Source organism: Homo sapiens, chromosome 1 (genome assembly GCF_000001405.40).
Source record: "Homo sapiens chromosome 1, GRCh38.p14 Primary Assembly".
Classification (NCBI taxonomy): Eukaryota; Metazoa; Chordata; class Mammalia; order Primates; family Hominidae; genus Homo; species Homo sapiens.
In genome coordinates, this window is record NC_000001.11 from 157,075,179 (window position 1) to 157,088,272 (window position 13,094).

Sequence of the window (13,094 nt, forward strand, 5' to 3'; positions counted from 1 at the left end):
GGGGTCTCTGTAAGACAATCAGCTTTCTTTAACAAATGAACTGCCAGAAAAAAATTATATTTATATTTTTATATACATGTGTGTATGTATATACATATACATATGTGTGTAAAAATCACACACACACAGAAAGAGAGAGGGAGAGTGAGCAATATGGAGGGTGAACCTATAGATAAAAGGATTAAAAAGATATAATCTGATCATAATGTGTGCACCTTATAAATACTGGTTTAAACAAACACGTTGTTTTTAAAAAGCAAATGACATTTGTGAGACAATTAGAATTTCGTACATGGGATATTTGGTGATTTAAGGAATTACAGTTAATATTTTGTATGATAACAATATTGTGGTTATGTTACAAATAAAGAATTCTTCCTTATCTGTAAAGACACATATTGAAAGAACCACAGAAATTTTTTTAAAAAACGATTAGAGAAAAAGGACAAATTACTTTCTTTTTTTTTTTTTTTTCTTGAGACGGAGTCTCGCCCTGTTGCCCAGGCTGGAGTGCAGTGGCTTCATCTCGGGTCACTGCAACCTCCGCCTCCCGAGTTCAAGTGATTCTCCTGCCTCAGCCTCCTGAGTAGCTGGGACTACAGGTGCCCACCACCATGCCCAGCTAAGTTTTGTATTTTTAGTAGAGATGGAGTTTCACCATATTGGCCAGGCTGGTCTTGATCTCCTGACCTTGTGATCCGCCCACCTCTGCCTCCCAAAGTGTTGGGATTACAGGCGTGAGCCACCGTGCCCGTCTGAAAATATCTATATTAAATAGGATAATGTTATGTGTTGTAACAAGCAAATCCCCAAATATCAGTGCCTTAACCACCATAAATGTATTCCTTAATCACCTAACAGTGCAGAGTGGGTAAACACATAGCATGCACGCAGCCCTTCCCTGCTTATTTATTCAGGTACCAGGGCAGGCAAATACTCTCCATTTTCAGCACACTGCTTCCAAGGTGGCCCTAAGAGTCATCTTTCCAGCCAGACAAAAATGGAAAAACCACAAAAGTGAGGTTTGGCAGTGGAGACCAGGGGATGTGTAATTAAAATATTTAGGGTTCCCAACCAGGCAGGGTGGCTCACACCTGTAATCCCAGCACTTTGGGAGGCTGAGGTGGGAAGATCACTTGAGCCCAGGAGTTCAAGACCAGCCTGGGCAAAAAAGCGAGATCCCCATCTCTATAAAAAATAAAAATAAAAATAAAATTAAAACCTGAAAATATTTAGGATTCTTATACTGTCTGGGAGGGAGCAGTAAAGGTACTTAACATTAGACAACAACATTGGGCAAGTTAAGAATGCAAGTCGTAATTTTGAGGTCAACCCATTATAAGACAGAAACTGTGTATATAATTTCTAAATTAGTAGAGGACAAAAAAAGAAATGAAACAATTTGTTAAAAATTCAAAAGAAGAAAAAAGAAACATAAAAAAACAAGATGGTGGATTGAAACTAATGTATTATCAGAAAGTGATTTCCGAGCTTATGAGCATCTAGGAGTTGTAGGATATACGGAATCATTTCTTTTGCTTGGCCACTGCCTTCGAAGTTGAGTTGCCCTTTTCATCCTGAAGGTCACTCTTACAGCCTAACTTCACTTGTGTGTCCCCCGTCTGAGCCAGCCAAAGGCATTCCTTGGCTAGTCCAATTCCTCTTGGGTTAGAGAAAGAGCCCATTGAAAGGTATAAAGCAGGGGTCACAAATGAGTGGTCTGTAGGCTTGTTTGGTTTGGTCTAAACAGTGTTTTAAATTGGAATTAGGGTCAACATTTGCAAATGGGGAGATTTCATATAAAAATCCCAATAATTGGAAGACTGGTCAACATGGGGTTCATGTTACAGATGACTACAACCTGTTGGATTTTGTAATAACTGCTCCCTTTGGAACATAGCATGTTCTCTGTTTGCCTTAGTCTCTTTCATGTTCCATTGGGTATGATATGCCTGACCCTGTAGGCCTTTGAGTTTGAGACCCTAGAGCAACCTCATATGGATCAAATTTTCCCAGGCTCTCAGACATTTACCCCTAGTTCTCTCTTTCTCACACGAATGGGCATTATGTATTGTGGGTTAGTAATAATAATAGCTGCAGTATTGGGCAGGCATTATATACACATCTCATGTATTAGTTATGATAACACAGTGAGAATAGATTTCAGGTATTAAACCTATTTCACCCATGAGGAAAACAGTCTTGAAGAAGTTAAAGAACTTTCCCATAATCACACACATAGTAAGCGGTGGAACTGAAATTTAAACCCAGGTCTCTCTATGCATTTGGAATAAATTTCAATCTTCTGCCCACAGTCAAAGGGACACTGCATGATCTGGCCCTAGCCTTTCTCTCTAACCTCATTTCATGCCTCTCTTTCTGGGTGTTCCCTGGTTCTGCACAAGATTATCTCCTTGTCATCTTTCATGTCTCTGCTTAAATTCCATCTCCCAGAGAGACCTGTGATCATTCCAAATTCACTCTCCCTTCCTCCTCCTTCTTCTATCCAAGCAGTATGTTGGAGCTGGCTTGTACTGGCTCATATTGGCTAATGAGAGCAATATGGTAAATTTTGTGGAATTTGGCAAACCAATTGAAGTCACATTGGTAGCTTGAAATTGGTCATGGTGGGAGTATTTACACCATGAAAATCAGCAAACATTTCAATTTTGTGTTCTCCCCCAACTCTTTTTGTTTGCTTCATATCACTTATCACAATTTGAGATTATGTGTTTAGTTTTTTTGTTGTTAGATAACAATACCTTCCAGGGGTTTTGTGATAATTACATGGTTTATATCTATAAAGTTCTTACAATATTATCTGACATATAGTAGACACTCAGTAAATGTTAGTTATTATACTTAATTTCATGAATATAGAGTCTATGTGTATTTTGTTCATTGTCCAGTGGTTTGCCAAAGCCAGCTTGTACTGGATCACAAGGGCCGATTGTATACATCTCTTCCCAGTTCTACATTCACTGATATTGACTGTGGTGGGAGTATTTACACCATGGTAATTGGTAAATGCCTTAAATCAGGATTTAAAAATTTCTGTTTTGGGAGATCAGGGTCCAGCATGCCATTATCTAGTAGAGTGACTAGGATTGAGTAGACACCCCATAAATACTTGTTGAATTAATAAATGCATGACATTGGCTGGGTGCGGTGGTTCACGCCTGTAATTCCAGCACTTTGGGAGGCTGAGGCAGGTGGATCATCTGAGGTCAGGAGTTCGAGACCAGCCTACCCAACATGGTGAAACCCTGTCTCTACTAAAAATACAAAAGTTAGCCAGGTGTGGTGGTGGGCGCTTGTAATCCCAGCTACTTGGGAGGTTAAGGCAGGAGAATTGCTTGCAGGAGGCGGAGGTTGCAGTGAGCCGAGATTGCGCCATTGCACTCCAGCCTGGGCGACAAAGCGAGACTCCAACTCAAAAAATAAATAAATAAAAATAAAAATAAATAAATAAATACGTGACATTAAAGTCCATATGTTTAATCATTTCATTAGGGTCTTTTCAGCCATGCCTTGAACTGAGTAGGACTGAATGCAGAATTCCTTAATATAGAAGACCCTTTCTACAGATATCCCTGGGGTGTTAGCACACATTACCTGGCTGCTCTCCAGAAGCAAACCTTAGCATTCGTCCCCTCCAGTTCTGGTTTCTTTGAAACATTTGACAAAGAGGAAGAGAGATGAGAAGTAAGAAGGCCATCATCCTGATGACAGGGTTTGTTTCGAGTTCTCAGAGTCAGCACCCGCTATCTCTGTGTGGAGCCTGCCATTGGGCTGCTATTTGGATTTTGCAGCCTTGAGGTTTCTGTGAGGATGCCAAGGTGGATGAGGAAAGGTCAGCAGACCCAGTGTGCATACTAGACTAATGAGAAAATGATGTGTGGAATTGAAGGGAGATGTTTGAGAATCTGTGGCAGAGCCCCTGGTTGTGTGGGGGTCCCTGAGAAGGTAGGCATGGGGCATGGAAAGGGAGGATAGGAAGTAGGCAGGATCTTGTTGAAGAGGGTGCTATTATAAGGCCCTTTAGGGGAAGGTTCATGTGTGGGACTCTCTGTGTTAGAAGCAGGTGTGAGATCATGTGTCAACATAGCTGTCACTTCCCTTCTTTCAGTCTCCTTTATTCTGTAAAATGATAGTGAAGCTTGATGCTCCCCTGGAGGGTGTGTGTTGGAGAAAGATGCGGATGGAGAAGGGAAGGTATCTTTGTCATTATAATTATTAGTACAGGTATAACACAGTAGCTTCACCACAAAATGTCATTCTTGCTTACACCTTCCAACAACAGTACATGCTTTTACAATATTTACTTTTTTTTTTTTTTTTCAGACAGTGTTGCTTTGTTGCCCAGGCTGGAGTGCAATGGCGTGATCTCGGCTCACTGCAACCTCTGCCTCCCGGGTTGAAGCATTTCTCCCACCTCAGCCTCTCGAATAGCTGGGATTACAGGTACACGCCACCATGCCTGGCTAATTTTTGTATTTTTAGTAGAGATGGGGTTTCAACATGTTGGCCAGGTTGGTCTTGAACTCCTGACCTCAAGTGATCTGCCCATCTTGGCCTCCTAAAGTGCTGAGATTACAGGCGTGAGCCCCCATGCCCTGCCTACAATGTTTACTTGATCTTCCTACTTGATCTTGTGAGGTAATAATGGTGGGCAGGAAATATTTACTTTAAAATTTTTAAATTTTATGTAAGTAATATGGTATTGTAGTTTTAAAATCGTAAGTATAAAATATATGCAGTGAAAAATCTACTTCTCTTCTGTCCTCTATCATCCATTTTCTTCTCCCCAATAGGTAACCTCTATTGTTCTTGTTTATCTTTTCAAACATTTTATTTATTTATGTATTTATTTATGTATGTATGTATTTTTGAGGTGGAGTCTTGCTCTGTCACCTAGGCTGGAGTACAGTGGCATGATCTCAGTTCACTGCAGCCTCTGCCTCCTGGGTTCAAGTGATTCTCCTGCCTCAGCTTCCCAAGTAGCTGAGAGTACAGGCGTGCACCACCACACCTGGCTAATTTTTTAATTTTTTTATTTTTAGTAGAGATGGGGTTTCACTATGTTGGCCGGGCTGGTCTCGAACTTCTGACCTCAAGTGATCCACCCACCTTGGCCTCCCAAAGTGCTGATATTACAGCCGTGAGCCACCGTGCCCGGTCCTTTTCAAGCATTTTAGTACCTAATCAAGTCAACACAAATCTATATATGTATTTTCCCCCTTCTTAAACAAATAGTAAAATCCCACATATACTCTTCTGCTCCCACTTTTTTCTTTTAAGACAAACTTGAGAGGTAATTCCACATCAGTACATAATAAGCTTCTGCTTTCTTTTTGACAGTGCATAGTGTTCCGTTGTATGGATGTACCATTATTTGTTTAATCAGCACACCAAAGGTGGACATTTAGGCGCTTCCGATATTTTTCTTTTGAAATCATGCTGCATCAAATTTCCTTGTGATTTTGCACCTGTACCAGTATATCTGTATCATCTCTGTTTCATAGTTGGGGCAGCTGGGGCTCGAGGTGATGAAATGACATGTCTAAGATCACAGACGGTCATCAAAGCAAGTTCTACAGCCCAGCCACCGTCAGAGTTTCTCTCCAGTACAGCATGGAGCCTGGATTTTAGTTCAGCAGCCCTTGTTGCGTGTTGCCATATGCCAGACCCTATCTAGGCCCTATCTAGAGCTTGATAGGGCCTCGTCCCTGCCCTGGGGCAGCTTACATTCCAGGGTAATTTGCACACGATGCAGTCAGTGCTATGATAAAGCTAGGCACAGAGGAAAGGCAGTTGACCCTGCCTGTGGTGTCAAGATGAGCTTCTGGGCCGGGAAATATTTAGGCCGGGTGTGGTGGCTCACGCTGTAATCCCAGCACTTTGGGAGGCAGAGGTGGGCGGATCATGAGGTCAGGAGATCGAGACCATCCTGGCTAACATGGTGAAACCCCGTCTGTACTAAAAAAAAGTACAAAAACAAAAAAATTAGCTGGGCGTGTTGGCGGGTGCCTGTAGTCCCAGCTACTCAGGAAGCTGAGGCAGGAGGATGGTGTGAACCCGGGAGGCGGAGCTTGCAGTGAGCCGAGATCGCGCCACTGCACTCCAGCCTGGGCGACAGAGCAAGACTCCGTCTAAAAAAAAAAAAAAAAGATGAGCTTCTGAGCAAACTCCTAAAGGATTAGGAGGAGTTAGCCTAAGAAGACGGCAGGCATGGCCTGTCAGTCGGAGGGATGAGCAGACATCCAAAGCACAGAAACACAAGCGATTTGGTACCACCAGGGTGCCAAGCGGGTGTTGGGAAGTGGCTGCAGAAGTGTGTCTGTGAGTGCGTGGGGTCCAGTGATGAGCTCCTGGATTCCATGTTGTAGGGAGCTTGGGCCTGGCTCTTTAGGTCTCATCTGAAGTCCATGGACTTTCTAGGAAAATGTTAACTTTTGTGTCTTACTTTTAATGATAATATAAAAAACAAATGAGATAATCATGGTTTGGATCATCTGGGTGGCACTTTATAACCTGTATTGCCAAATGATTTCAGTGTCTGCATTCGTCTTTGTGTTTGTGATGAGCTGGCACCAAGTAGTGCTGCTTTAATTGTCTCAGCTAATTAGAAAAGAACAGAGGAGGACTTAATATGTAAATGATGCGTTTGAGCCTGGAGGAGGCCAAATGTCCTCCCAGCAGGCTGAATGAACAAAGGGTGAGCAGAAGTTCCAATAGAGAAAAGTGGTGGGAGAAGTGAGTCATTGCACAGCGTGCCAAACTCCAGAGACCCTGAGCTGGAACTCTCCATTCCACGATCGCATTTTGTGCAGCAATTAGTTTCAGCAAACATCATCTGTCACAATACATTAATGTTTTTATTTTAAAATGTATTGGCTTTATAGTTTTGTTTCTATTTAATTGGTAAATTGCCATTGCTTTTATAGTTTTATGTGCCATAAATATATATTTATACCTAGTTTTATGTCTATATCTTTTTAAATGACATTATAGTACATATAAATTATCATCACTAGGGGGATAGAGAGATTTTTTTTTTTCCTTTCAGGGGAGCCATTGAAGAGTTTTAAGTTAAATGATCAATATGGAGTATGGATTGGAAAGGGACAAGATTAGACTATCTGTAGGGCCTAAACTAAGTCAGTGTAGAGTTGTCCAGGAGAAAGCAGATTTCGGAAATGTTTAGAAGGTGAAACTGATCGGATCTGGCAACCTACTGGGTATAGGCGGTGGGGGAAAAGACAGCATGGGCTGACACCCTGGTTCCTGCTTTGGTATAATTGGATGTATTGTGGTGTCATTAACTAAAGCAAGGAACAGAAAGAAAAGGAGAGCGGAAGGCAGCACCAGGTGTTGAGACAAAGAGTTCCATTTTGGACATGCTAAGTTTGAGATGCCTATGGGACATCCAGGCAGCAATGCTCAGTGGGCATTTGGACCCATGACCTTGAAGCTTGAGCCAGAGGTCAGGGCTAGTCATACAGATCTAGGAGCAGTCAGCATTTAGGTGGTGGTTAAGGCACAGAGAGAAGCCCAGATGGAAACTCTCTAGGAAGGATGTGTAAAATACACAGAGCTGTGGACCAGTGTTCTGGAGAACCCCAAAGTCGAGGATACAGAGGAATGCCCAGAAATGAGTTTGAAAAGCAACAGTCTTAGGAAAGAGAGAATTGGGAAGGGATGGATATTGGCAGCTAATGGAACAAAGGGCTGTCCATGATGTCACAACCAGAGGACAAAATAAGATAAGGACAAAAATGTGGTCACTGGATTTAGTACTATGAAAGTCATGGAAAAAAACACGGCACCACTCTCCTTCCTAAGCCCCCAGCACAACCTTGGAATCCTTCTTGACCATGTGCTTCCTAGTTGCGTCCCAGTCAATTAACTGGAGTTGGCACAAGAGCTAACACCTGCTTGACTTTCCTTGTTTGGTACAGGTGGAGGGGTTACATCACTGGGTCAGGAACAACCCATTCTTGAGACTAGAAGTAAGGACTGGCGGAAGGAAAGGAAGCCCTAGTAGGAAGTACAGTAGACTTTGTTTTTTTATTTGTTTTGTTTTGTTTGTTTTTTTGAGACGGAGTTTTGCTCTGTCGCCTACGCTGGAGTGCAATGGCGCTATCTTGGCTCACTGCAACCTCCACCTCCCAGGTTGCAAGCCATTCTCCTGCCTCAGCCTCCCAAGTAGCTGGGATTGCAGGCATCTGCCCCCATGCCCAGCTAATTTTTGTATTTTTTAGTAGAGACGGGGTTTCACCATGTTGTTCAGTGTGGTCTTGAATTCCTGACCTCCGGTGATCCACCTGCCTCAGGCTTCCAAACTGCTGGGATTAGAGGTGTGAGGCACTGCGCCTGGCCAAGGAATTGCAGTAGACTTTGGAGATGAAGGGAGTGGGATGTGGGTGGGGGAAGATTTAGAACAGATGCTGAGAGCTGACCCAGGACTAGCAAAAGGCTTGTGAGGGCCAGATGAGGTTGGAGAGGGAGGGGTTTATGGTAGCAACAAGTCTTGCAGTTGGGAGATTTTCTCCATCAGTTCACAGCAAGTTGATGGTAGGAAAAGTGAGTGTGATTGACACTCAGGGGTTCATACATAGGTTTTACTTTTCCTGATGACCTGGAACAACTCTCCTCAGGGGCCTTTGAACCTGCAACTAAAAAATAAATGGATGGACTGGACGATATCCCTGGCTCCATTGCTAAGTCCTGGCAGTGGTCCATGGTATCTGAGCTGCGTGGGTCTCATGGCATTAGGATGCCCAAAGACCCAGTCTCACCTGTTGCTTGCTTTCTTCTGGCTGAACCCTCCAGGTATTTATGGTGGTGGTCACTCAGTTTTCCCCTGTGGTTGCCCTGCCTGGTCTGAGCCTCCGAAATGTTTGGGATAAAACAATGAAATAATTACGAACAGTCAGTAATTAGCTACAGCATTACAATTTCAAATGAAATTACAGCTTTCAGCCCAAGTAGCCAGAGGGGAGTTCTATAAAAGTCATTTATTTTTTCAATGCTAAATGAAGTAATTGATGGCTAGCCTGGTGATTGGAATATTTTCTTTCCCCTTTTCCTCAAAATCTTCTGAAGAACTCTGTCCCCTTTTTGCTTCCTCTTTCTTCACCCATCCCTATTTCCTCCCTCCATCCTCACCTGGCAGTCATATTAATTTAAAATATCTTTTCTTTTTCTTTTTTTTTTTTTGAGACGGAGTCTTTCTCTGTCACCCAGGCTGGAGTGCAGTGGCGCAATCTCGGCTCACTGCAAGCTCTGCCTCCCGGGTTCACGCCATTCTCCTGCCTCAGCCTCCCAAGTAGCTGGGACTACAGGCGCCTGCCACCACGCCCGGCTAATTTTTTGTATTTTTAGTAGAGGTGGGGTTTCACCGTGTTAGCCAGGATGGTCTCAATCTCCTGACCTCGTGATCCACCCGCCTCGGCCTCCCAAAGTGCTGGGATTACAGGCGTGAGCCACCGCGCCCGGCCAAAATATCTTTTCAATATTGTGTTAGTGAGGTGGTCCTTGTTCCTAATTTTAAAACAGGAGAGGCCAAATTATAAGTAGCAAATGAGCAGAAAAACGTTCGGTTGCCCTCACCAGCTATTTGAAGACATACCAAAGAGGACAGTGATGACATAACCGTACTCTTATTGGTAAAAGTGGCCAGAGGGTAGAGAAAGGCCACAGCTGCTGAGGTTCCAAGAGGACTTGTCTTTTGCTGTTGGCATCAGAGGCCGGCACTTGAGCACAGACTGTGGAGCCAGACTGCTTAGGTCTGAACCCTGGCTCTGCTGCTTGCCAGGAATGTGGCCTTGAGCAAGTTATTTTACCTGTTTAGACCTTAATGTCCTCATCTGTAAAATGAGATTAAAGGCCGAGTGTGGTGGCTCTTATCTGTAATCCCAACACTTTGGGAGGCTGGGGCAGGAGGGTCTCTTGAGGCCAGGAATTTGAGACCAGCCTGGGCAACATACTGAGATCCCATTCCTACCAAAAAAAAAACTAAAAAAAAAAAAAAGGGATTAAAATAGTGCAAAGCTGTTATGAGTATTGATTGAGCTAATGTATGCAAAGCACTTAGGACAGCATGGCTTATAGCAAATGGTGTATAAATGTAACTTTTATTTTTTGAAACAAGGTCTTGCTCTGTCACCCAGGCTGGAGTGCAGTGGCATGATCATGGCTCACTGCAGGATCTGGGAGTACAGACATACACCACCACCCCTGGCTAATTTTTTATTTTATTTTATTTTATTTTATTTTTTTGTAGAAATGGGGTATTACTATGTTACCCAGGCTAGTCTTGAACTACTGGGCTCAAGTGATCCTCCCACCTTGGCCTCCCAAAGTGTTGCTATTATAGGCATGAGTCACTGTGCCCGGCCTAAATGTGATTTCTTAAAACTGTGGTAATCTTTTGGAGGATAGTTGGGCAATATGTATCCAAAGCCATTACAATGTCGTAATTTTTTTTTTTTTTTTGTGATGGGGTCACGTTCTGTCACTCAGGCTGGAGCGCAGTGGTGCAGTCATGGCTTATTGCAGCTTCAATTCCCAGGCTCAAGCGATCCTCCCACTTCAGCCTCCAGAGTAGCTGGGAAAATGTCATAATTTTTGACCCAGTAATTTCACTCCTGAGAATTTATCTTAAGGAATTAATATAAGGAAAGAAAAAAAAAGATTATAACCACAGACAAAAGTTTCAAAGCCATTTTTATCTGTAAAGCAAATAACAAGAAACAACCTAAAAGATCACCAAAAGGGTAGTGGCTAAATATATGTGAATCAACATGACAGGATATTTGCTATGGTTAAGATGATCAACATTAGCTGCAAATAACTGGTGAAGTGTTTATTAAATAATTAGATGGAAAAAAGTGACCACAGAATTGTATATGTGTTATGATAACTTTATAAGCACATATCACCTGGCTTTCTCCATTGGGGAATTACAGATGGCTTCTTAAGATTTATTTTTAGGCATTTTAAAGTACGTTGATTTCAGGGCCAGACGTGGTGGCTCACATCTGTAATCCCAGCACTTTGGGAGGCGGGAGGTGGGCAGATCACTTGAGGTTAGGAGTTTGAGACCAGCCTGGCCAACATGGTGAAACCCCATCTCTACTAAAAATACAAAGAAAAAAAAATTAGCCAGGCGTAGTGGTGGGCTCCTGTAATCCCAGCTACCTGAGAGGCTGAGGCATGGGAATCGCTTGAACCTGGGAGGCGGAGGTTGCAGTGAGCCAAGATTGCGCCACTCCAGCCTGGGTGACAGAGTGAGATTCCATCTCAGTAAAAAAAAAAAAAAAAAGGTTGATTTCTAAACAACTCCTGCAGAGCTGCCCCTCCTGGCTGCTCCCCTACTCCTCCCCACCCCCATCCACCTGCAAGCTCGATTGCTTTCTGTGCAACGTACTGACTTCTGTCAGGCTACCTGTGTGACACAGCACAGATGAAAGTGTCTTAAGGCAGGTACTCTGCTTCTCAGCACCTGGCAGTGCAGTGTTTGGCACACAGTAGGCATTTAATCAATGTTTGTTGAACTGTATATACAGTCATGTGCCGCATAACAGCGTGGTCCCATAAGATTATAATGGAGCTGAAAAATTCCTATCACCTAATGACATTGTAGCTGTTGTAATGTTATAGTGCACCACATTTTTCATGTGTTTGTGGTGATGCTGGTGTAAACAAACCTATGGCACTGCCAGTCATATAAAAGTATAGCACATACAATTGTGTGCAGTACCTAATACTTGATAATGATAATAAATGGCTATGTTATTGGCTTATGTATTTACTGTACTACACGTTTAAATCATTATTTCAGTGTTCTCGTTCCACTTATTCAAAAAAATTAACTGTAAAACAGCCTCAGGCAAGTCCTTCCGGAGGTTTTCCAGAAGGTGTTGTTCTCATAGCAGATGAACAGCCCCTTGCATGTTATTGCCCCTGAAGACTTTCCCGTGGGACAAGATGTGGAGGTGGGAGACAGTGACACTGACGATCCTGACCCTGTGTGTAGGCCTGCACTTGTGTGTGTCTGTGTCTTTGTTTGTTTGGTTGGTTTGGTTTTTGAGACAGAGTCTCACTCTGTCACACAGGCTAGAGTGTAGTAGCGATCACAACTTACTGAAGCCTTGACTCCCAGGCCCAAGCTATTCTCCAACCTCAGCCTTCTGAGTAGCTGGGACCACAGGCATATGCCACCAGGCCCAGCTAATTTTTTTTTTAAATTTTTTATAGAGAAGAGGTCTCCCTGTGTTGCCCATGCTGGTTTGGAAGTCGTGGGCTCAAGTGATCCTCCCACCTTGGCCTCCCAAGGTGCTGGGATTATAGGCATGAGCTACCACTCAGGCCACATGCTTGTGTCTTTTTTTTTTTTTTTTTTTGAGATGGAGTCTCTCTCTGTCGCCCAGGCTGGAGTGCGGTGGCACTATCTCCGCTCACTGCAAGCTCCGCCTCCCAGGTTCATGCCATTCTCCTGCCTCAGCCTCCCGAGTAGCTGGGACTACAGGCTCTCACCACCACGCCTGGCTAATTTTTTTGTATTTTTTAGGAGAGATGGGTTTCACCATGTTAGCCAGGATAGTCTCGATCTCCTGACCTTGTGATCCGCCTGCCTTGGCCTCCCAAAGTGCTGGGATTATAGGTGTGAGCCACTGCGCCCAGCCCATGTGCTTGTGTCTTAATGTGTGCGCTTGTGTCTTAGCTTTTAACAAAAAAGTTTAAAAAGTAATAAATTTAAAAATGTTGTTAAATACAAAAAAGCTTATAGAATAGAGATAATATCCTTACATATAAGGATATAAAGAAAAAATATTTTGGTACATCTGTGCAGTGTATTTGTGTCTTAAACTAAGTGTTACCACAAAAGAGTCTAAAGGTTAAAAAAAAAATTAAAGCTTTTAAAGTAAAAAAGTTTGGGAGGCCAAGGTAGGCAGATCACCTGAGGTCAGGAGTTTAAGAACAGCCTGGTCAACATGGCAAAACACTGTCTCTACTAAAAATACAAAAAATTAGCCAGGCATGGTGGCATGCTCCTGTAATCCCAGCTACTTGGGAGGCACGGGAAT